The sequence below is a fragment of the Homo sapiens genome, chromosome 9 (genome assembly GCF_000001405.40).
Source record: "Homo sapiens chromosome 9, GRCh38.p14 Primary Assembly".
Classification (NCBI taxonomy): Eukaryota; Metazoa; Chordata; class Mammalia; order Primates; family Hominidae; genus Homo; species Homo sapiens.
The window spans coordinates 91,161,610-91,186,448 of NC_000009.12; the positions used below are offsets into that span (position 1 = coordinate 91,161,610).

At 46.1% G+C, this 24,839-nt stretch overlaps 2 long non-coding RNA genes across 3 annotated transcripts in view, besides 2 other annotated features; one reads left to right on the top strand and one right to left on the bottom strand.

Annotated features, from left to right (window-relative positions):
* Nucleotides 1-1,671, bottom strand: part of LINC02937 (long intergenic non-protein coding RNA 2937) — an 86,180-nt gene extending 84,509 nt beyond the window's left edge. For both annotated transcript variants that reach the window (NR_184105.1, NR_184106.1), the window contains exon 1: nt 1,396-1,671. This is a non-coding gene — a long non-coding RNA (long intergenic non-protein coding RNA 2937). The remainder of the gene's footprint in view (nt 1-1,395) is intronic.
* Nucleotides 1-21,153, top strand: part of LINC00484 (long intergenic non-protein coding RNA 484) — a 63,701-nt gene extending 42,548 nt beyond the window's left edge. The window contains exon 3 of the long non-coding RNA NR_135306.1: nt 20,860-21,153. This is a non-coding gene — a long non-coding RNA (long intergenic non-protein coding RNA 484). The remainder of the gene's footprint in view (nt 1-20,859) is intronic.
* Nucleotides 1,631-1,680: an enhancer, noted in NCBI's record as "active region_28584". NCBI's record gives its function as "activates an Ori minimal core promoter by ATAC-STARR-seq in GM12878 lymphoblastoid cells {active_cell/tissue: GM12878}" and the evidence as "EXISTENCE:reporter gene assay evidence [ECO:0000049][PMID:35858748]".
* Nucleotides 3,078-3,372: an enhancer, noted in NCBI's record as "tiled region #1412; K562 Activating DNase unmatched - State 5:Enh". NCBI's record gives its function as "activates a minimal TATA promoter and a strong SV40 promoter by Sharpr-MPRA in K562 cells {active_cell/tissue: K562}" and the evidence as "EXISTENCE:reporter gene assay evidence [ECO:0000049][PMID:27701403]".
* Nucleotides 21,154-24,839: the final 3,686 nt, after the last annotated feature.

The window sequence follows — 24,839 nt, forward strand, 5'->3', positions numbered from 1 at the left end:
CACGGAAATGCAGCTGTCACCAGATGGAAAAGGAGGAGAAGATGCAGTGGGCTTGGGTGGTCCCAGGTGGCCCCTGGCCGGACTCTTTCCCTCAGTTGGGGGACAGAGGCTGATTGGAAGAGCACCTCCTTCCCAACGCTTGAGGACAGGGCCTTCCCTGACACCTGTGCCTGGGCTGGTCTTCTGCACCCTTAGCCTCAAGTAGCCTCAGACCACTGCAGTGCTGTTGAGGGTTATCCATAGCGTTTTTTTCCTGTGCTTTGGGTCTCCTTTGCCATCTGCAGCTGGACTAGGGGTCTTGGATTGCCAGGGAGGCTTCTGTGAAGTGGGCTGAAGAGAGCCCTTCCTCACTCGGAAGGCACAGCACAGCCCCGCCGCATTTATAAGTGAAAAGGGAGACCCCACTGTGATGGGGATCCTTCTGCCATTCCCCCAAGACCCCGGGATTGATGAGAGGCATTCAGAACTGCAAGGGGCATGAGGGGGCTGTCATGTCCTTGTCTGGGCGGCCTCCCAGGCTCAAATTGCTGCCTGAGAACAGGTGGCAGAACATTCCTGAATATTTAACCCTTGGCTCGCAAGAGTGCAGGAATGACAGTTCTGTGCCTGAGGAAAAGATTCGTGTCACTCGCACCTCACTTAGGACAACTCGTGCTTTACAGAAATTTACTAATGTTAAAGAATGATTTGTGGTTTCTTTGCTCAAATACAGGAAACTGACTTTTCTCAAAAATGAACTCTCCCTACCAATCTGCACCATGAAATTATTTCAGCAAACAAAAAATAATGGTTGCCCATCACCGCACACTGCGTGTGACTCAGCCATCACTCACAGGCAAAGAAGGGTGTTCTCTCCTCTCCCTGTCAGTTACTAATTCTCTGTAAATGACCATTTGACATCCTGGCCGGGGAGGATTCAGATCAGAGATGACTTCCCCACTGCCACAAAGTATGGTTCTGGGAAGGACAACCAGCCCCAAGGCCACGAAGATTCTGAAAAAGTTTCTTCTCATTTGAAGTCCAGTATTTCCTCGGCCCCATTTTTCTGTTAAACAATCCTTTTCCCTTGGAGATTGCTAAAGCTTAGCTCCAGGGCCAGCCTAAGCTCCAGCAGAACTGGGAGCGTCTCCTGTGTCTACATAGCTCCCTTCCCTCCTGCCTTCCTACTATCAAAGGAGAAACAGCGTGTAATTTGATTTTTTCCCCTTCTCCTCACTTGCCATACTGTGTTCTTTGCCTGGGCCTGTGCCTCTCCTTGCAGAGGCTGTGGACAGGAGCACCGAGAGCCACTTCCTGGAGCATGCTCCCCACCCCCGCAGCCTGTGGCTTCAGCCTCTGCTTCTGCAGACAGCGGTGGAGGAAGTCAGGACTGTCCCTTCTGACCTGAACACCTACCTCCAAGTCCTCCCTGTCGCCACAGAGACCCGGCAATGCAAGTGAGTCCTGTTTGACCTCGTCAATCATCGCAGACTGTAAAGGTGACTCGGATGCTCAAGAAACGAGCATACCCAGCAGTGGGCCCCAGACTTCTCGCAGGCCCAGGTCCTCCTGGGTGCACAGAGACCTACCAGACAACGGTCCGGCTGCACTGGTGTTGTGAGATGCCTGTGTCAGAAGACACTGAGTTCCTCACTCGCCTCCTATCATGCCGATGATCACAGGAGAAAGAGCAGGGCACATGCATGCCAGCATGCTGAAGGGAGGCCAAAACCCATGCTTGAAAACCACAGGTCCTGTTCTAGGAGCAGGAGATATATTTAGCCAAGCAGGATGTTTGTGGGTAAACCAACATTTTGCTGTAAATAAAATTCTGCAAACTCGGGACTTTGAGAATTGCAGAAGCTTACTTTGCCTGCGTATTGGCAAGAGAGCTATTTTCCTAACACAAGCTCACCATGACCCTCATTCAGAGATGCGCTTGACGCCGAGGGTGGTGCCTTTTCGCTAAGGGGTGCTGTCAGGGGATTGAGTAGGAGCCTGAAGAGCTAGGAGTATCTTCTCCCTGGGCAGACCAGCAGGCAGACCCTGTCCCTTCACACTACAGTGGCACGTGATGGGCCCCACTGCCCACCTGGTTCTGGTGTCCAGGCTGAAGTCCTCGTGTGACACTCCAAACTGTTCTGGCAAGGAAGGCTCACGGGTTCTGACCTACACTCTGAAACTGACCAGTAGTGATAAACTCCGCATGGACTTCAGCCATCATTGCGTACGTAAGAAATACGTGTTGCACACAGAGTGCTTCTCTACATTCCCAGGTTTGCCACTCCCCGACTTTTGCTGAAGCAGGTTTCTACTCCATCAGTCCCACAGATGTGTTCACAGGGCCAGCACTGAGTGTGGTGCTGGGGAAGGCATGTGCTTGGAGGCAGCCCTGTGAGATGGCACAGCCTAGGGGAGGAGTCGTGGTGGGGAAGACCCTGGCCACGCATGATAGAGGAAGCGTGGCCACACAGTCTTTGCTGTCCCTGCCACAGCATGGTGCTGTAAGTCTCCTCCTTCCGAGTCTGTGCAGACTTATGTGACACATTTGACCCAACAGAAATGCAGCATTTGTGGTGTGTGAAAGTTCCAGACCAGGCCACAGCGAGCTCCGTGGCTTCGGCTGTGTCTCCTGGAGCACTTGCTCTCAGGACCCCCTCTCTCAGAGCCCAGGCACCACGCCGTGAGAGAGCCCCAGCCACAGAGACAGGCTACGTGTAGGTGCTTTCATCAAAGTGCCACCTGTGCCTCCCCGCAGCAGTGTCAGGCCACCAGCTTGGACAGGCAGCTCCAGCCTCCAGTGGAGGCTTCAGAGGACAGCATCAAACAGCATCCACAAAGGAGACCCACCTTGTGAAAAGCGCCTAGCCAAGCCCTGCCCAAATCCCTGGCCTGTGCAATTGTGAGCAAAGCAATTCAATTTGGAGTGGTTTTATGCTGCAGTAGGTGACCAAAGCACTATGGAAGTGAATATCAGGAGCCCCTCACTGGGATGTCAGAAGACATTCAAGGAAGGTTTCCTGGAAGATTTAGTACCTCAGGTGGTACAGGAGAAGGTGAGATGGAGAGAAAGCAACCCCAGTCTGAAGACGCAGTGGTAAGAAAGGGTCATTCCCCTGGGCATGTGTGGTCTGCTGGGGGATGACAGCCGAGGTGAACTTGAAGCAGAGGACACTCAGACAAGCTGCACTCTGAATCCCGCTACGCTGACCGCAGCACTTGCTGAAGAAGCCGCCTCGCCACGCCCAAGCCCTGCAGAGGGAAGGACTGAGGAAGGCAGCTCAGAGGCCTCAGGCAGCCACAGTGTGCATGCTTGTCTATGACTCACAGCTACGACGTGGCCTGTGCTGCTGCAGCTGCTGATAAGCCTCAAACCTCATATACCACTCTCTTCCGAGGATTTTTTAAATACACAAAACTGGGAGTGAGAGGGGTATTTAATTCCCCTACTAACACATGTTGGGCGCAGCTGGAGCAGCCAGGCCCACTGTAGCTGGGAAGATGCGGTGCCTTGAGGTGCAGGCACTGCTCACTGCCACATGTGAGCACAGGTTCTGAGGGTGAAAGGTCCCTGGTATCTGGCCAGAGTGTTAGACTCTGGAACATAAGAAGCCCCCGAGGTGGTGGAGAAGGTCTAGCCAGGCTCCAGACTGGCTTCACAGAGGTAATGCTTTTTGGTTTGAAATCCGTAAGAGCGCACTACAACTTCAGGGCAAGCTCCAACAGTGCTTCTCAAACTTTAATGAGCACCCAAATCATCAGGGGGCGCGGGGGCAGTGGGTCGCTTACTAAAATGAAGATTCTGCATCAGGAGGTCTGGGGCGGTGACACGATTCTGTGTTTCTAACACGTTCCTGGGTGAGGCTGAAGCCACTAGTCCATGAAGCACACTTTGAGTAGCAAGAATGTGGAGGAACTGTCCCAGGATGGGCCATGATTTACCTGAATTCTCACAGTGGCTTAGACAATGGAGACCTTGTCCACAACTAAAAAATAAAAATAAAATCGAACCACACTCATTGTTCCAGGAAACAGCAATAACATTGGAAATAAATCAAATGGTTTATTACTGAGATTGTATTATCAGAGCTATATATTAATTTTTTTTTCTTTCTTTCTTTTTTCCTTTTTTGAGACAGGGTCTCACTCTGTCACCCAGGCTGGAGTGCAGTGGCATGGTCACTGCTCACTGCAGCCTCGAGTTTTCGGGCTCAGGTGATCCTCCCACCTCAGCCTCCCGAGTAGCTGGGACTACAGGCATGCACCACCACATCCAGCTAATTTTTTGTACTTTTAGTAGAGATGAGGTCTTGCCATGTTGCCCAGGCTGGTCTCAAACTCCTGGGCTCAAGTGATTCGCCCACCTCAGGCTTTCAAAGTGCTGGGATTACAGGTGTGAGCTATACCCCCCCACCCCACCCACCTGTATATTCATTTTCTATAACTGTGTAACAAATAATAAATTCCTATTACTGTATAACAGACTTAATAGCTTAAAACAACACCCATTTATGGTCTCATAATTCTGCAGGTCAGAAGTCCAGGCGGGTTTAATGGGGTTTTCTGCTTGGAGTCTCACAAGGCCAATGTCAAGGTCTCCTATCTGGAGGTTTGGGGAAAAAAATCTACCTCCAAGTTTAATCTGGTTGTTGGGCAAATTCACTTCCTTGCAGTCCCCTGAAATCCTCATTTTCTTGCTGGCTGTCAGCCAGGGGTTGCTCTCGGTAACAGGGACCTCCCAGGGCCTCCTCCATCTCAAAGCCAGCAACAGAGACTCCACCCTGGTGTCAAATCTAACTCCGGCTCTGTTACCAGCCAGAGAAAACTCTGCTTTTAAAGAACTTGGCCGGGTGCCGTGGCTCACACCTGTAATCCCAGCACTTTGGGAGGCAGAGGCAGGCGGATCACCTGAGGTCAGCACTTTGAGACCAGCCCGGCCAACATGATGAAACCCCGTCTCTACTAAAAAATACAAAAATTAGCCAGGCACAGTGGCAGGTGCCTGTAATCCCAACTACTCAGGAAGCTGAGGCAGGAGAATAGCTTCAACCTGGAGGCAGAGGTTGCAGTGAGCCGAGATTGCCCCATTGCCCAGCCTGGGCGATAGAGCGAGACTCTGTCTCAAAAATAAATAAATAAATAAATAAGAACTCATATTAGGCCCCACCCCAGATAATCTTCCAATTTTTAGATCAGACAATTAGTGACCTTAATTATATCTGAAAGAGTCTTTTGCCATACAAGATAACATAATCATGCGAATAACGCCAGGGGGCTTGGTTCTGGTTCCAGGGCCACCTTAGATTTCTGCCCTCCATAAGTGGGAAATGGGTGCCTTAGGCAAAAACTGCCCGATAAGAATGCAACAACCATTACACAACTAAAGTGGGTGATCTTCAATGACATAATCAGAAAAGAACCTGAGATCAGTTTCTCACTCAACAGGATTTATGGAGAGAGGCCAACAAAAAGTAAGGCCTCGATTTAGCAAACTGAACTAAAAGCCAAGTCTAATTTGCATTCTTTAGAATGCTTGGGGTCAGCCGGGAGTCTCTCCCATTAGAATGCCTGGGGTGGCCCAGGTGTCTCTATCATTAGACTGCCCGGGCTCGGCCGGGAGATTCCTAGAACACACTGGGTCAAGCAAAATAACAACAAACAAACAAAAACCTTTAGAAACATTTATTTTATGTTCACTGAAAACACTTCATCGCGGCAGCAACTTCAATTATTTAGTATTTTGCACCTCCAAGGCAAAATTTCATAAACAAACAGGTGATGTTTCTTAGAAAACGAACTGTTTATATTTAGCATTATTTTCTTTCTCTCATGCCAGTTTCCTGGAGGGCATCTCTCACACCAATTTCCTAGAGGGAAAAGTTTACCTGCAAAGCTAGAAGGGGCTTAATGCCAACATTCCCTGATGCACCCAGTGAGAACATGAAGAGATGTGGATTTCCTCTCCTTCCCTTATTAATTGTTTTGTGCCATTTAGAGCAAATTTGATGCATAAAACTCTAATTCAAAAGAAAATGAGTTTTTACTTTACCAAAAGTGTAAACCTTTTTGGCTGGGAGCGGTGGCTCACGCCTGTAATCCCAGCACTTTGGGAGGCCGAGGCGGGTGGATCACGAGGTCAGGAGATCAAGACCGCCGTGGCTAACACGGTGAAACCCCGTCTCTACTAAAAATACTAAAAAAAATTAGCCAGGCATGGTGGTGGGTGCCTGTAGTCCCAGCTACTCGGGAGGCTGAGGCAGGAGAATGGCGTGAACCCGGGAGGTGGAGCTTGCAGTGAGCGGAGATCACGCCACTGCACTCCAGCCTGGGCAACAGAGCGAGACTCCGTCTCAAAAAAAAAAAGAGTAAATCGTTTTGTAAAATTTCTAGGAATTATTCTCAGCCTAAAACAGTGAGTTGTATACAGTTTCTATTAATTGAGGTTTGAAATGTACACGCATAGTAGCACAGTGGGTGAAATGACTGATCTGAAGTGTGCCACTCACTGAATCTGCTCATGTATACGTTCACGTGAGCACCACTCAGCTTCCCCAGATTTCCTTGCTATCCATCCCAGTCTATAATTACCCCCAACCAGAGGCAAGGCAGCGTTTTAGAAACTTTATTGAGGGTATGATTTCTGTCCAGTAAATTGTGTCCACTTCAAGCTTCCAGTCCAGTGAGTTTGACTATGTGCACACTCAGGTCACAAACCAAGGTCACAATCAGGAGGCAACACACCTTCATCACCCACAAGGGACACACCTTGGTCACCTTTGCCTCATCTCCCACCACCCTGGACACCAGGACACCACACATCTGTTTTTTAAATCACTATAGATTAGTTTGAGTTGTTTAATTTGTGTGTAAGAGAAATCATGAAGGATATACTCTTTTCTGGCTAGCCTCTCTCACCCGGCATAGTGATCTGGAGATTCCTTGATGCTGTGGGGAGTATAAAGAGTTCATTCTCTTTCATTGCTGAATAGTATTCCATTGTATGGATATACAACAGTGATTCTCCATTCACCTGTTAATAGACGTGTGGGGTTTTTCCAGTTTGGGGCTACTGTGAATAAAGCTGGTATGAGCATTCACCCACAGGTATTTGTGTGAACATATGTTTTATTTATTCTGGGAAAATACCCAAAAGTGGCAAAACTAGGTCATATGAAAAGTATATGCTTAACTTTAAGAAATTGCCCAATAGTTTGCTAAAGTGTTTGCATCATTTACACTCCCACCAAGACTGATTTGGTATTGTCGGTCTGTAATTTTAGCCATCCTAGTGGACGTGTAGTGATCTCTCATTGCAGTTTTGTTTGCAATTCACAGACAACTGATGATGTTGAACATCTTTTCATGGTTTTTTTGGCCATTTATATATGTTATATTTGTTGGTCATTTCTATATCTTCTTTGGTGAAGTGTCTGTTCAAATAATTTGCCCATGTATACATTGTATTCTTTGTCCTTTTACTATTTTTGTTGTTATTTAATATTTATTTTATAATCTTAAACTTAACTCTGCAATCCAGCTAGAACTGGAGGGGAATAAGGAAAATATGGAACCTAAAGAATGCATCAGCTGGGCGCGGTGGCTCAGGCCTGTAATCTCAGCACTTTGGGAGGCTGAGGCGGGCAAATCATGAGGTCAGGAGTTGGAGACCAGCCTGGCCAACATGATGAAACACTGTCTCTGCTAAAAATACAAATACTAGCTGGGCATGGTGGCGCTTGCCTGTAGTCCCAGCTACTCAGGAGGCTGAGGCAGGAGAATCGCTTGAACCCAGGAGGCAGAGGTTGCCGTGAGCTGAGATCGTGCCACTGCACTCCAGCCTGGGCAATAGAGGGGACTCCATCTCAAAAAAAAAAAAAAATGCATCGATAGCAAAAGATGATAGGCTACTGTGAGCAAATGGGGTGGAGGGGTGGTCTCCAGGTTACAGAAAAAGTAGTCTGGTGGTTAAGATAAAGGACGAGTCAAATGTATTAGACTGTCCAGAGTCAGCAATGGTGATCTTCTTGCTGGTCTTCTTATTCCTGAACCCAAAGTGCTCCATGGCCTCTGAGATATTCATGCCTTCTTTCACCTTCCCAAAGACCACATGTTTGCCTTCTAACCACTCAGTCTTGGCAGAGCAGATGAAAAACTGGAAACCGTTTGTGTTGGGTCTAGCATTTGCCATGGAAAGATGACAGGACCTGTATGCTTTGGGATGAAGTTTTCATCAAATTTCTCTCCATGAATGGACTTTCCACCAGTGCCATTATGGCCTGTGAAGTCGCCATCCTGACACATAAACCCTGGAATAATTCTGTGAAAGCAGGAATCCTTATAACCAAATATTTTCTCTCTAATGCTCAGAGTGCAAAAGTTTCTTGCTGTCTTTGGAACTTGGTCTGCAAACAGCTAGAAGGAGACACAACCCAAGGGCTCACCATTATCGGTGATGTCCATCATGGTTGGTGGCAGGGGGCCCTGGGTGGTGGCAGCATCTGCAAAAAAAGCCTGTCCTTTTACTATTTTGAGGTTTTTTTCTTTTTCTTTTCTGGAGACATGGTCTCACTCTGTTGCCCAAGCTGGAATACAATGGCATGATCATAGCTCACTGCAGCCTTGAGCTCCTGGGCTTCAGTGATCCTCCTACCTTAGCCTCCTGAGTAGCTGAGACTACAGGCATGCACCACCACTCCTGACTATATCTTTAATTTTTTTGTAGAGATGGGGTCTCACTATGTTGCCTGGGTTGGTCTCAAACCCCTGGGCTCAAGCTATTTTCCCACTCTGGCTTCCCAGAACACTGGGATTACAGATGTGAGCCACTATACCCAGCCATAATATTAAGATTTAAGCACAATTTATGTTTTGTGATTACAAGTTATCATCAGATATAGGTATTGCTAATATTTCCTCCTATTCTGTGACTTGCCTTCATTTCTTAGTAGTGCCTTTGAAAAGCAAAAGCTGTAAATTTTGATAAGTCCAGTTTATCAATTTTTTATGGATTGTGCTTTATGTATCCTATGTAAAAAACATATGCCACTCAAGGTTGCAAGGATTGTCTCCTATGTTTTCTTCTAGGATTTTTATGTGTATGGTCATTTCAAGTGAATTTTGTATACAGAGCAAGGTAAGAGTTGATGTTCATTTTTTCCTTATGCATATACTCAGTTGTTGAAAAAAACATTTCTTTCTTCATTAATTTGAGTGGGTATCTTTGTTAAAAATTGATTATCTATGGCTATCTTTGCCTGTCTATGACTATCCCTCTTATGTTCAAGGGCTCTATGTATCTAACATTTCAGTATTACCATACTACTTGGTTACTGTAGTTTTGTAGGAAGTCTTAAAATCAAGTGGTGTCAGCCCTCCAACTTCTTAAAAATGTCTTTGACTAATGTAGGTCCTTTATATTTTCAAGTAAATTTTAGAATCAGTTTCTCAACTTCTACAAAAAATTCTTTGCTAAAATTTTGATTAGGATTGCATTGAATCCATGGATCAATTTGAGAACTGATCAAGTGGATTTTACATGAGGAATGCAAGGATGGTTCAACATACATAAAGCAATAGATGTGAAACATCACTTAACAGAATTGAGAACAAAAACTATATGATCATCTCAACAGATGCAGAAAAAGCATTTTATAAAATTCAGCATCCCTTACATGATAAATTGATAACCTCAACAAACTAGGCACAGAAGGAAAATACCTCAAAATAATAAAGCCCATATACATCAAACCCACAGCCAGCACCATACTAAATGGGGAAAAGTCTAAAGCATTCCCTCCAAGAACTGGAACAAGGCAAGGATGCCCACTTTCACCACCCATATTCAACATAGTACTGGAAGTCCTAGCTAGAGCAATCAAGTGAAAGAAATAAAAGGCATCCAAACTGGAAAAAAGTAAGTCAAATTATCCCTGTTCACTGATGATGCATTCTTACATCTAGAAAACCCTAAACATTCCATCAAAAACTCTTCAATTCAATAAATAAATTCAGGAAAATTTTAGGATACAAAATCAATCTACTAAAATTAGTAGCATTTCTACATATCAATAATGATCTAGTTGAGAACCAAATCAAGAAGGCAATTCCATCTGCAATACCTACCAAAAAATTAAAACATCTAGGAATATTTTTAACCAGGAAGATGAAAGACCTCTACCAAGAAAGCTACAAAACACTGATGAAAGAAATTGTAGATAACCCAAATGGAAAAACATCCCATGCTAATTGATCAGAGTTAATATTATTAAAGTGTCCATACTGTCAAAAACAATCTACAAATTTAATGCAATCCCTACCAAAATACCAACATCATTTTTCACAGATTTAGAAAAAAATAGTCCTAAAATTCATATGGAACTGAAAAAGAGCCCAAATAGCCAAAGCAATCCCAAGCAAAAAGAACAAAGCTGGAGCCATCATATTATCTGATTTCAAATTATACCACCAGGCTACAGTAACCAAAACAGCATGGAACTGGTATAAACACACAAATCAATGGAGCAGAGTAGATAACACAGGAATAAAATCACATATTTATAGCCAACTGATCTTTGATAAAGTCAACAAGAACATATACTGGGGGAAGGACACTCTTTTTAGTAAATTGTGCTAGAAAAACTGGATTGTCATTTGCAGAAGAATGAAAGTGGATCGTATTCTCTCACCAGATAAAAAAAGTCAACTCAAGATGAATTAAATGTAAGATCTGAAACTATAAAAGTACTAAAAGAAAACCTAGGGAAAACTTCTCAACATTGGTCTAGGCAAAAAATTCATCACCAAGACCTCAAAAGCACAGGCAACAGAAACAAAAACAGACAAATGGGATTTAATTAAACTAAAAAGCTTCTGCACAGCAAAGGAAATAATCAGCTGAGTGAACAAACAACTAGTGAAATGGGAGAAAATATTTGCAAACTATGCATTTTGACAGGGACTGACAGTCAGAATTTATAAGAAACTCAAACAACTCAACAAAAAAACCTCAAATAATCCCATTAAAAAGTGGGCAAAGAACATGAATAGACATTTTTCAAAAGAAGACATACAAATGGCCAACAAACATAAGAAAGAATGCTCAAAATCATTAATCATCAGAGAAACGCAAATTAAAAACACAATGAAATATCATCTTACACCAGACAGAATGGCTATTATTAAAAAGACAAAAAATAACAGATGTTAGCAAGGATGCAGAGAAAAGGGAACTTATATACTATTGGTGGGAATGTAAATTAGTAAGTGCTCTATGGAAAACAGCATGGAGATTTCTCAAAGAACTGAAAATAGAACTACCATTCAATTCAGTAATCTCACTACTGGGATCTACTCAAAGGACAATAAATCATTGTATCAAAAAGACACCTGCACTCTTGTTTCTCTCAGCACTATTCACAATAGCAAAGATGTGGAATCAACCTAAGTATCCATCAGTAGATGACTGGATAAAGAAAATGTCATATATATATATATATATATATATATATATATATATATATGCACACACACACACACACACACACACACATATATATAATTGAATACTATTCAGCCATAAAATAATGAAATCATATCTTTTCCACCAACATGGATGGAGCTAGAGGCCATTACCTTAAATTAAATAAGTCAGACACAGACAAGTATCACATGTTCACACTTATAAGTGGAAGCTAAATAATGTGTACACATGGACACAGAATGTGGAATGATAGACAACAAACACTTGGAAGGGTGAGGATGTGTGAGGGGATGGATGCCAAAAAATTATTTAATGGGTATAATGTATGTTATTTAGGTGACAGATATCCTAGAAGCCTTGATTTCACCACTACACAATCTATGCCTGTAACAAAATTACACTTGCACCCCATAAATTTATACAAAAGGTAGTAATAAGGAGAACTGATAGCACTATTGAGTCTTCTTATCCAATTGAGATTTGGAACAATGCCTCTCCATGTATTCAGGTTTTTTTTTTGTTTTGGTTTTTTTTGACAAAGTTTTACTCTGTAACCTAGGCTGGAGTGCAGTGGTGCGATCTCAGTTCACTGCAACCTCTGTCTCGCAGGTTCAAGAGATTCTCCTGCCTCAGCCTCCCGAGTATTTGGCATTACAGGTGTGTGCCACCATGCCCCGCTAATTTTTGTATTTTTAGTAGAGATGGAGTTTCATCATGTTGGCCAAGCTGGTCTCGAACTCCTGACCTCAGGTGATCCGCCTGCCTTGGCCTCCCAAAGTGCTAGGATTACAGGCGTGAACCAGCATGCCCGGCCTGTACAGGTCTTTTAAAATGTCTCCCTTAATAATATTCTGCAGTTTTCTGTGAAAAGGACTTCTGCATCTTTTGTTAAATATTTAAAAATATTTTATTTGGTACTGTTGTAAATAAATTTTTTAAAATTTCATTTTCCAATTGTTTGCTGCTAGTATATATGTATGTATGCTATTGATTTTTGTATCCTGCAGACTTATACTAGTGGTTCTGTAGTTTCCTTGAGGTTTTCTATGTAAACAATCATGTTATGTTCAAATAGAGACAATTTTACTTCTTTCCCACCAATATTTATGCCTTTACATGTTTTTCTTGCTTCATTGCCATAGCTAGGTTCTCAGTACAATTAACCAGAAGAAGAGAGAGAGAGAGAGAGAGAGAGAGAGAGAGAGAATGCATGCACTTACTTCCTTATCCTTCTGATCCTAGAGAGAAAGTATTCAATATTTCAACAATAAGTATTGTATTGGGTTAGCTCCAGGTTTTTCACAGATGCCCTTTATCAGGTGGAAGAAGTCCCTTTCTCTGCTTAGTTTGTTGGAGAAAGAAACAATTCCACACTCATATTAAGAGATTTAACACTTCTCTTTCATCAGCTTATTGATCAGTTACAAAAATATCAGTAAACATTTGGAGGAAGTGAACATTATCATCAGTTACCTTTACCTAATTGCTATTTCTGTATCACTACACATTCTTTTCAAGTACACATAGAAAGTTCACTAAGACAAACTATATGCTGGGCCATAATACAAGTCCCCAAAATTTAAAAATATTTGAAATAGCACAAAGTAGGTTCACTGACTACAGCAGAATTAAATTAGAAATAATAACAGATCAAGGAAATACCCCAATATTTGGAAATTAACCTGCACACTTCTAAACAATGCACATTTCAAAAAAAAATCCCAAAGAATTTTAAAAATATTTCTAATTGACAGATATGTAAAAATACAATAAATATATCAAAATGTATGGGATGCGTTAAAGCAGTGTGAGGAGGAAAATTTACACTTTTAAAGGCTTATGTCAGAAAAGAGGAAACATGTGACCTCAGAGACGGAACAGTTCACCTCAAAAAGCTAAAAAAAGAAGAGCAAAGTAAACCCAAAGAAGACGGAAGGAGCAGAAGTCAACAAGAGAGAAAACAAATGTTAGAAAAAGATTACACAGCTTCCCTCGCTGTGATCTACTGAAAATCGCCCTCAACACAAGGGATTGTAAAGAAACAAAGTGAAAAAAAAAATCTTTTTTAAAAAAGAAAAAGATTACAAAGCTAAATCGTAGTTCTTTAAAAGCAACAAAATAAAGTCATAACTAGTTAATAAGAAAAAATTATTAATAGAGCACAAATGACAAATATCAGAAATGAAACACTGGTTACCACTTCAGATATTAAAAGAATAATAAGCTGATTTTGTGAACAACTTTATAGCAATCAATTTGGCAACTTAATGAACTGAACAAATTTCCTGAGAAGTACGATCTACCAAAATTTACACAAGATGAAAGGGAAAATATGAATAATCCTGTATCCATGAAAGAAATTGAATTTGTCATCATTAACCTTCCCACCAAGGAAACCAGCCCAGATTGTTTCACAAGTGAATTCCATCAAACGTTCAAAGACATAATAGCACCAAATGTACACAGACTCTTCCAGGAAATAGAGGAAGAGGGAACACATCCATGTTTCATGGGACCAGCATAACCTCGCATCAAAAGATAACAAAACATTAACCCCCTCCACTCCACTAAAAAGAACTTTTTTACAACACTAAAGTTAACAAATTAATACTTTTATGAGAGTTGCAAAGTGTATGCAGGCTCCATTGTGGAAGAAATGGCTCATTTAAGCCAATGAGAACCAAAATCAGCTCCCAACTTAATAATGTTAAACTCCATTCCACGATGTATTTTTAAGAGCTTGCCAAATTTGGTAATAAATTAATTTTTAAAAGGAAAGAAAAGCTAAATCTAGACAAAGAAACACAGAAAACCAAATTATCGGTTTGGAAGATATTCAAATATATTAACTAGGACCCTGGGAAAACCATGTATGTTGGGAAGGGATTTGTAGGTGAAGAAGGATGTAGAAAAATTCAAGAAGAGCCTGGTGATGTGGCTCACACCTGCAATTCCAGCACTTTGGGAGGCTAAAGCGGGAGGATCACTTGAGGTTGGGAGTTTGAGACCAGCCTGGCCAACATGGTGAAACTCTTGTCTCTACTAAAAATACAAAAATTAGCCAGGTGTGGTGACTCATGCCTGTAATCCCAGCTACTCGGGAGGCTGAGGCATAAGAATCGCTTGAATTCGGGAGGTGGAGGTTGCAGTGAGCCAGGAGGCAGAGGCTGCAGTGAGGCAAGATCGCACCACTGCACTCCAGCATGGGCAACAGACTGAGGCTTTGTCTCAAAAAAAGAAAAGAAAAATACAAGAAGGAAAATGGGCTTCTGCCATTTTCGGTGGCATGTTGTACAGAATTTGACAAGCATGTCCAGGTGAAATCTTTGAAGAAGGCACTGCAGTTTCTGTGTTGGCGGACGTCCTCATTTTTGTTTCCACCCTGTAGCTAAGTGGCCATCCTGCTCAGAATATCTGTGACAGTTGGATTAGGACATATTTAGTGATTAGGAATCAGCATGTTACATGGTGTATAAAAGTCAGGCCCAAGAAAGACTCTGACCACCTGAACATCGGCAAGCTCACGTGACGCCCAAGAGTCAAGACTGCGGAGCGGTGGACAGAAGAACTGCATCAGGAGCCCCTAAAAGGCTGGCTCACAGGGGCTGTAGAAGAGCCACCATGACAGTGTTCTGGCTGAAGATCAGGCTGCATGGTCTGACAAAGGACTTTCTGGCTGGCAGTTTGACAGCACCTGTGGTTTATTTAAAAAAATAATAATAATAACAGCCGGGTGTGGTGCCTCACACCTGTAATCCCAGCACTTTGGGAGGCCGAGGCAGATGGATCACCTGAGGTCAGGAGTTCGAGACCAGCCTGGCCAACATAGTGAAACCCCGTCTCTACAAAAATACAAAAATCAGCCAGGCGTGGTGGCGCACACCTGTAATCCCAGGTACTTGGGAGGCTGAGGCAGGAGAATTGCTTGAACCTGGGAGGTGGAGGTTGCAGTGAGCCAAGATTCCATCACTGCACTCCAGCCTGGGCGACAGAGGGGAGACTCTGTCTGTCAAACAAAAAGAACAATAAGAAGGTTGTTTATGGCTGAAATAGGAACACACAGAGAATCTAGGGTATGGGGCTGCCAGCTCTCTCCCAGTAGAGTCCGTGGACCAGGTCACTTGTGAGCTGCTGGTTTCTGCCCCATGATGAGATAACAGAGTGCAAGGAAGTGTACGTGTTCAGAACTCTCACGGCAATTTGACAGGACTGTGGCATCAAAGTGTGTGCCTGTGTTTCAGTAATCCATGTCCTCTGTGTTTTACAAAAGCACTGGCCCAAGACAGATTGGGGAAAAACTACAAAAAATTGCTCCTTCCCTACAGGCTGTTCCAGGACAGCAGCTCTGGAGTGTGGCTTGGCGGTCATTTCTGGGGGAAGCTGCAGACAATTAGCCACAGATGATACTTAGGGTCTCAGACCCCACAGTTGATGCTTAAAATAGATGTTAATGACTTCAGAGATGTCCCTAAGCTTATCTGATTCATACCCTCTCATTTCCAATGTGTTTTCTGAGGGAAAAAGAAGGGTTTTCGGTCAGTGTGCCAGGAGATCCAAAATCCAGGGCATCCCTGGGTAGCCTGACCTGCTGGGACAATGAAAAGGTGGAGAGAGGACTCCCAGGGACGGCAATGAGGAAACAGGGCTGCCACGGCCCACAGGCCTGGGTGTGATCTTGCTGCAGAGCCAGGAAGCTCCTTGCAGCGGTGAATGTGGTGGCGGTGCTGGCCGGGCACCGTGGCTGTGCCTGGCAGGCCTGCTGAGGGCACAGGGATTCATCGCGCTTGGCTCAGAAGCTTCGTTTTTCTGAGACAGCTCCCAGCTTCACTCAAACGTGGTTACCTACAGATGCAAACTGGAAACGATGCACTGTTTGTTCCCTTGCAATCTCTACGGTGAGCAGGCAGGAGCCCCAGCCAGAGTCCTGTGGTCACACACCCACTGGTGGTCAGGTAAATTTTCTGTTTCCCAGAAGGTTTTATTTTACAGAGTTAACAGACTGTGGCCTGCTTCCATTGCTCTGAAACACGCCAACTCCAGTTTCCCCACCTTTGTGAGGACGATCAAAAACCCAGAGAACGGCAGTGTTAAGATTTGATTTCATGATAAGCCCATCTTGTGGCAAGTTGAGTCTGGCTCTGGAAGGTGTGTTTGCCAGGAAACAAGCTGTGTATTATTTCTGTGGTTTGGCAAGGGAAACTCTGAGCTGGATGGATTTGGGAACCAGGGGAAACATAGCTCAGGCCATGAGAAGTCTGGATGAACAGGAAAACAGAGGAGGGGTCCCAGGTATTGCACAGCTCAGAGAGACAACGCCCCAGCGCCAGAACTCAGCAGCCAGCAGGGGTGTGGGCAGCACTGGGGTGTGGCTGGAAACTTCGGACACCACCCACACGGCCCACAGTGCCAAGCCCTGCTGCCTGGCCCTGCCCACAGAACCCCCCCATCCTTCTCAGCTGTGGGCTAAACACCCCCAGGATGGAAATGGCTGGGCTGTCCAGGGTGTGGAGTGAGCAGAGGCGCACAGGCAGCCTGCCTATGTGGGCCTGTGTTGGTGGGGCCCCACGTGTGGACATGCCCCGCCTGACACCAGGACTTGCCCGTGAGCCTCCCTCATCCCCAGCAGGCCTTGCTGGGACTCCTGTCTGGGGCTCAGTCCCGCTCTGGGGACATTTTAGGAGAGGCAGGTGAGTTCCTGCTGCTCCCAGGGGCCAGTCCCAGGGGACCTCATCTGTGACAGAGGATACCTCATTTATGACAGAAGACGAATTGTTGGGCACAGCCCAAGGCCTACGGAGAGCAAGGTAGGGTTGTGTCAGAGTTGCCCTGAAACCAACATCTTGTAGGTAAAGTTACTGAGGTTTGTCAAGTTGCACAGCATGGAGTAAGCCGCAGAGTGGAGGACAGGAGGTCACTCTGTGGTTCCCGGGCATCTCATACCACCTGGTGCCATCTGGAAACAAGTGTATTCACCTGCAGTGGGGAGACCCCGCCTCCCCTGCCTCAGAGCAGCCAGCCCCTTTGTCTGCCACCTGGAGGTGTCACAGGCCTTCAGAGGAGAGGGCTGTGGGGCTGCAGGGAGTCATCAGGGTGGACAAAGAGGTGCACTTGTGCAGATGTGGGCCTCATGGAGCCGAGAAGGGAAAGACTTCCCTGCAGATGACCATACAATGAGCAGGCAAGAAAGAGGACCGGAAGGCGTGAGCTGAACCCGCAGCTGGCTGAGGAGCCAACACACACGTTTCCGAGGGATCCAGGCTTAGGCTGGTGGCTCTTACGATCCCAACATCGGCTCCATTCGCCCCGGTCTGTTCATTCTACTTCCACCGAGATCATGTGCATCCCATCAGGGCATCCTCCCTTACCTTCTATGCCGCCAGTGCCCCACAGCACCCCCATGCTGTGTGCCCAAGCTCTGCACGGTTAGGTGGGGACACCCTTGCAACGCACAAGGTCGGCCTTCCCATCCCACCATTGCTGCCTGCCCTGTGTCCCTGGCTCCTGCCAACCTGGTGGGTTTGCAATTCCCCACAGGGACCCACACTTCCTGGAGAGAGTAGCCACACTCGGACCTGCCCAGTGCAGAGCCGGGCCAGGCTGGAAACAGGTCGGGGCTGACTCACTGGCCCAGAGTGGGCCACAGGTGCTGGGCACTGCTCTCTCTGCCTGCAAATCCTATCTTTTACACCCCTGCCCAGAGAAACATTCTGTGTCTCTCCACGTACCAGGATGACAGCGGCCCCCAAATATGTTCATATCCTAATCCCCAGAACCCGTGGGTGTGACCTTACATGGCAAACAGGACTCTGCAGATGTGATGAAGACCAGAATTATTTGGGGGAGGAGGGCAATGTAGTCACAAGGGTCCTCCTGAGACAGTCCGAGCAGAAGAGAGCAGGAGGTGACTCACTGATGAACACAGACTGCAGCGATGCGCTTTGAAGACAGAGGAAGGAGACAAGAGCCAAGGAATGCAGGTGGCCCCCAGAAGCAGAAAGACAGCAAAGAAATGGATTCTCCCCTAGAGCCTCCAGAAAGAACCAGCCCTGCCCACCTTTGACTTTAACCCAGTCAGATTGGTTTTAGACTTCTAGCATCCAGAACAGTAAGAGAACAAAGCTGTGCTGTTCTAAGCCACCGAGTCAGTGGTCACTTGTTACTCAAACATCACCCATCAGCACCCTGGGGAAGTGCGCCTGGCTGTCCGAATGAGCAGCCCTCTCTCCAGGACAGCCCTGCACCCGTGTTGGGCCTGTGTCTGAAACTCCCTAGCTGCACAGGCCTGGTGCCAGCTCCATGAGGCTGGGGTGCCACTGTGAGTGGCTCCATCACTCAGTCAGCCCTCGCCACAGGCCTGCAAATGGCCACTGCATGCTGGTGCTGTGGACATCCATGGCTTGGTTCCATTTCAGGGAAAAGCCCCTGAGGACTTGGGGAATGCTTTCCTCCCTCAGCCACGCTATTCAGCGACCCCACTGGTGACCTGTCCAGGCTGAGCCCCCCCAAACACGCTGGCCCAGTGACTGCTGCCACCCCCCTTGGCCGGCTGCTTGGTCCAGAGGCAAGAGTCTCGGCCAAGGACAAGGCATCACAGTCCTTTCCTGGTATATTTCAAATAGGAACTGGGAACCAAGGGCCAGTCCCATTAACTTGAGTAAGAGGCAGACACCAGCCGGCACAGAGTGGGTCCCACTGCCTGGGCCCTTCCTGCACCTCTGCTCGCTGCTCTGCCCCAGCCCGGGCTCAGCAGGGACCGGCCTGGAGACCAGCCCCAGAGCGGGACCTCAGTGCATGGGTGCCGGGGAACAGTGGGGGCCTGACAGGGCTCCTCAGACCTTCCCGTGGAGGAAGGCAGGAAGGTGGGCTTCCCAGGAGCCGTGGGCAGGCAGGCACCCTTGGGCTTCCTTTTTCCCATCTGTGTAAGGAACTGCTCTAGGGCCATGAGACACTCTCTGCTGATCCTGTCCCATGGTCCTAGGGGCACTGTCTGCCCACCCACCCTGAGTGGCCTTGGTCACAGCTGCAGTGGGACACCAAGTGGGTCCATAGCCATTATGGACTCCCACACGCAGCGGCCACCATATGCTGTGGGGTCCTCATCTCAGGTGCCCACATTCAGATAAGATTTGGGATAGACCATAAATTCCACAAGGACAGGGATTTTTAAAAATTTGTGTTTACTGATGCCACTCAAAAGCCTATAATCAGTATAAGCCTGACACAGACAGGTGCTCAGGAAACAATTTTTGAATGAATGACTAGATGCTGAATTATTTGCTTGGTAGGATGAGGATGGGCATTTCCAACATATTGCAACTGGAAACAGTGTTCCACGTTTAGAACTCCTCTTCGCCTCATGAGCTAATTTGGCACATTACTGGTCTGAGTGAGCTGTGGGTTGTCTGTACAGTTTTTGTTTGTAGCAAAGCTATAAAACAAACTGTGCAGGCCAAGAATAGATTGACATTGTTCACGATGGTGCTTACAGGCTGCGCAAGATGTATTAGAAGTCTTTGCATAAATAATAATTACAGAAATCCAAATTAATGAGAGAGCATTTCTCAATGATCCGATTGGTAGAGTCCAGCATCCACGTGCACTCCTGACCAGGACGTAGAGAGAGGCCCTCCAGGAGGTGTGCAAAGTGGCGTGGATTTGGGACAGCGATTTGACAGTATCTGAGAAAGTTAAAACTCTGCATCCCCAACACACAGCAAGCCCTGCAGCGGTAAGTCTGGGTCACAGTGAAGGCTCAGGACAACCCCAACCATCCAGGGAGGAACAGCTAATAAGAATGGCACCCTTGCTGGAAAGTGTATGGTTGCTGACTGGAAGAAATATCCATGACATGTTGTGATGTGTGTGCAGCTGCAGACCTCTACGTAGAGTAAGTACGTTATTGTTTGTGGAAAAAAGTATGTGTGTGTTCACAGGTATGTACATGTTTGTGTGTGTGTGCAAATGAGCACAAGCATTGACTTGTTGGAATGTGGGTGCATGGTGCGTGTGTTCCTGTTTGTGTCTATGCATGTGTGTGTGTGCATGTGTCTTTTGTAAGTACAGGAAGAAGTCAGGAGTCGTCATGGTAGTGAGGATAGCAGTACTGTGTCCTATCAGGGCCAGACACGGCACCTTTCAGATACTGTAGTCATGCACTTAATCCTCAACTGGGTTACCACTGTTATCTCCAATTCACAGATCAGGAAACTGAGGCAAGCGACCAACCTAAGTTGAATTCTGAAGTCAGGCAACTTGTGTCCAAAGTCCATGACCAGAATCTTTCTGTTTTGCCGCCATGCTCAAAATAGGAAAGGCAAGGTGAAGCGTGCTGTTAAACATTGTTAACTGGTGGGCACTATGGGTGTTTTTTACTTTTTTCTTTTTGTATTTTTATCTTTCAGGCGATTACTTTAAAACATGAAAGAAATTGCACCTTTTCCTTAAGGGCAAGATGGTGCTGTGGGCTTTCCTCTCTCCTGATGAGATGATGCAAATGGACTCCATAGAGAAACGCTGCCCGTGTAACAATGCAGTTACGCAACCCGGTGCATGACACATGAATTGCAGCGCACCTGAGATCCTGATGAAATCCTGGGAGCCTGGAGCTGTCAAACATGGTTTTAAAAAATAAAGGGAATACACCCAGCCCACACCCTGACTTTACAACCTTTAATTAATTAGAGGAAAGAAAGAGAGATTTGTCTGGTTTCATGACTTCAACTTTCCACCTGGAATATGAAGCTCCTGCTCTTCCCACCTCCTTTTCTTCTCTCTCTCTCTCTCAGGTTTTTAAATTTCTATTTCCAGTTCTGCCACCAAAAATAGATTGCAAATATATTCTGCATAATTCCGAGGCTACACTATAAATGTTGGAGTGCTACTACTTGTATAATAGTCACAAATGAACGCACGAGTGGGCACAGACCGCCACTCTGCCTCCCTCCTGCTCCTGCACCAGCCAATAGTGTCTGAAGTCAGACCCATCCCATCTTCCTGTCCAGCTGTTTAGTCTCAAATTGTACATTTATTTCATTAATAGATCAGTCTAAGATGTTCATCTCATGTAACAAAGGGGCATCTTTTTTTCTTGGGAGCCTGGCTGGTTTGTTGGTGGAAAGGCAGGGCTCAGGGGCCGTCGATGTTTAACTTAAGCCTCCTGTACTTTCACATTCTGGGACCCAGCACCTTCTTGTCTATAGTTAGCTTTTTGAAAAGTGCTATTTGATTACAATTTAAGGCTGGGCGCCGTGGCTCACGCCTGTAATCCCAGCACTTTGGGAGGCCAAGGCAGGCGGATCACCTGAGGTAGGGAATTCGAGACCAACCTGACCAATATGGAGAAACCCCCATCTCTACTAAAAGTACAAAATTAACCGGGCATAGTGGTGCATGCCTGTGATTCCAGCTACTTGGGAGGCTGAGGCACAAGAATCGCTTGAACTCGGGAGGCGGAGATTGCGGTGAGCCGAGATCACACCATTGCACTCCAGCCTGGGCAACAAGAGCAAAACTCCGTCTCAGAAAAAAAAAAAAATTAAACACACTTTCATTCACTGAATCAACAACTCTTACCAGTCATGGTCAATAGCTGTATCATGACAATAACTTAACTTGGGGAGTTTAAAAAATACCCACACCTGGATCCTACCCCAGGACTGGTTGAAGTCACCTGGGTGGGGCTCTGGCCGGGCGATTTTCAGGTGATTGTAATATGCAATCAGGGTTGAGTCCTTCTGCACATGGAGTTCCTTGAGCAAACCTCCTGACCCTCGAAACTGCCTCTGACAGGCTGTTTCCTCCACCCCTGCACCATGAGTATTATCTAATGACTTAATGACTAAAGGGGCATAACAATGCAAACAGCTATGGTGTACAGGATATTTACTAATGCCAGACACATCCACACAACAACTCATTTAATCCCTATTCTGGTCTGTGAGGCCGAGACTCTCCTTCCTTTCCTCTTTGGCCAATAGAATGTGAACTTCTGGGCCTTTCAAGTCCAATTCTTCAGATGCTTTGAGCTCTATGTTCTCCCGATTAGAGCCTGACCACCATGCTGCAAGGAAGCCAAGCTAGATCCATGGACAAGCCAAGGCCATCTGGAGGAGGCCCTGGAGGATGGAGGCCAGCTTGGATGTCCCAGCCAGTTCAAGCTCCCAGCTGAATGCAGCCATAGGATCAGCCACAGCCCACACCAAGTAGGGTGGAAGAGTTGCCCAGCTAAGCCCTGTCCAAATTCCCATCCACAGAATTACGAGAAAGAAAAAGCTGTGGGCTGGGTGCGGTGGCTCATGCCCGTAATCCCAGCACTTTGGGAGGCCAAGATGGGTGAATCACCTGAGGTCAGGAGTTCGAGACCAGCCTGGCCAACATGGCAAAACCCCATCTCTACCAAAAATACAAAAATTAGCTGGGCATGGTGGTGTGCGCCTGTAGTCCCAGCTACTCGGGAGGCTGAGGCAGGAGAATCGCTTGAACCCAGGAGGTGGGGATGCAGCGAGCCCAGATCGCACCACTGCACCCCAGCCTGGGTAAGACTCCATCTCAAAAAAAAAAAAAAGAAAAGGTTGTATTGCTTGACACATGATATTTGGGGATGTTGTGTTACACAGCAGTAACTGAAATGCCATAAGGTTCCTCTGTTTCCCCTGTGCCTATAGGTGCTCTGCTGACCCCGGGCACCCAGAGAAACAGACACACATTTCCCTAACGGAGTGTTTCCAGGGGCTTCCACTCTGATAACAACAGCACACTCACATCACCAATGAGGTGCTCCTGGTGATACCCCAGAGAGCTCGGGATGAGGGCATGAAGATGGCAGTTGAGGGACAACTTCCAGAGGGGCCGGCTGCTTATCTTCAAGACTAAATTACAGAAAACAAATCCTACCTCTTAATAGGACATTGAAGCTCAAAAACAATTCTGTTCAACTCAAACTCAGTAGAAAGAGAAAAATCCAGAGATATTTAGATAATCCAGAATGTTAGAGATACCATTTCAAAAGTTCCTCAACAAAAAGCAAACCCCAAAAAACGATTCACAAAGCCACTTTAAAAACACAAACACTGGCCGAGTGTGGTGGCTCACACCTGTAATCCCAGCATTTTGGGAGGCCGAGGTGGGCGGATCACAAGGTCAGGAGTTCAAGACCAGTCTGGCCAACATAGTGAAACTCCATCTCTACTAAAAATACAAAAAATTAGCCAGGTGTGGTGGTGTGCACCTGTAATCCCAGCTACTTCAGAGGCTGAGGCAGGAGAATCGCGTGAACCCGGGAGGCAAAGGTTACAGTGAGCCAAGATTGCGCCACTCTAGCCCGGGCGACAGTGCAAGACTTTGTCTCAAAAAAAAAAAAAAAATCACCTGCTCTCTTCACTGCTACACAGAGCAGCCTTGGTTATATGCAAGCCCCTGTGCCTGACGAGTGGCTGGTTCCTCAGTCTCAGGAGTCCTCACACTTGCCAAAGCCCACAGCTCCCTAGCTCTTCTGCCAGACATCATAGATGCCCTAGAAGCCACTTTGCTTATTACCTGCATCATGCAAGTGCTGAAGGTTCAGGTCACAGATGCCGGCAAAAGCCTTCTACCAAGAACAAAGTGATGGCCCAGAGATGAGGCCCCTCAGGCCCCTCACAGAGCAAACACAGGTTTGGGCTTCTCCACAACTGAGAGAAATGGCCACATGCCCAGCAAGCCAGATAGAAAAAGCCTTCCTGCTTCTTTGCCTAAAGCCCTCATCTGGTCCAGCAACTTCATTTTATGTATGTATGTATGTATGTATGTATGTATGTATGTATGTACGTATTTATTGAGACAGAGTCTTACTCTGTCACCCAGGCTGGAGCGCAGTGGCGTGATCTCAGCTCACTGCAACCTCCACCTGCCAGGTTCATGCCATTCTTCTGCCTCAGCCTCCCAAGTAGCTGGGACTACAGGTGCATGCCACAATGCCCGGCTAATTTTTTGTATTTTAGTGGAGACGGGGTTTCACCGTGTACCCTAGGCTGGTCGCGAACTCCTGAGCTCAGGCAATCCACCAGCCTCGGCCTCCCAAAGTCCTGGGATTTCAGGCGTGAGCCACCGAAGGCCAACTTCATATTTATTAATAGTTGTTTAATGTTTGCAAAGCCCAGAGTATCTCCAAGAAAAGTCATTTCTTCCCTGTAGAGAGATGGCTTTCTATTATTAAGAGTTGGAAATGAGTTTAGGAGCAGTCTTGCAACCCTGCTCCCGGGGAAATCAAACATTTGGGAATAGTGTTCTGCTAATGAAGTGAGAAATGGGAGGACATGGCTTTGGCTGCAAAGATGACCCGGGCACACTGTCAATGTCCCAGCTCCCACAGAGGCACTCGGTAGAGCCAAACTCTGAGCTTCAT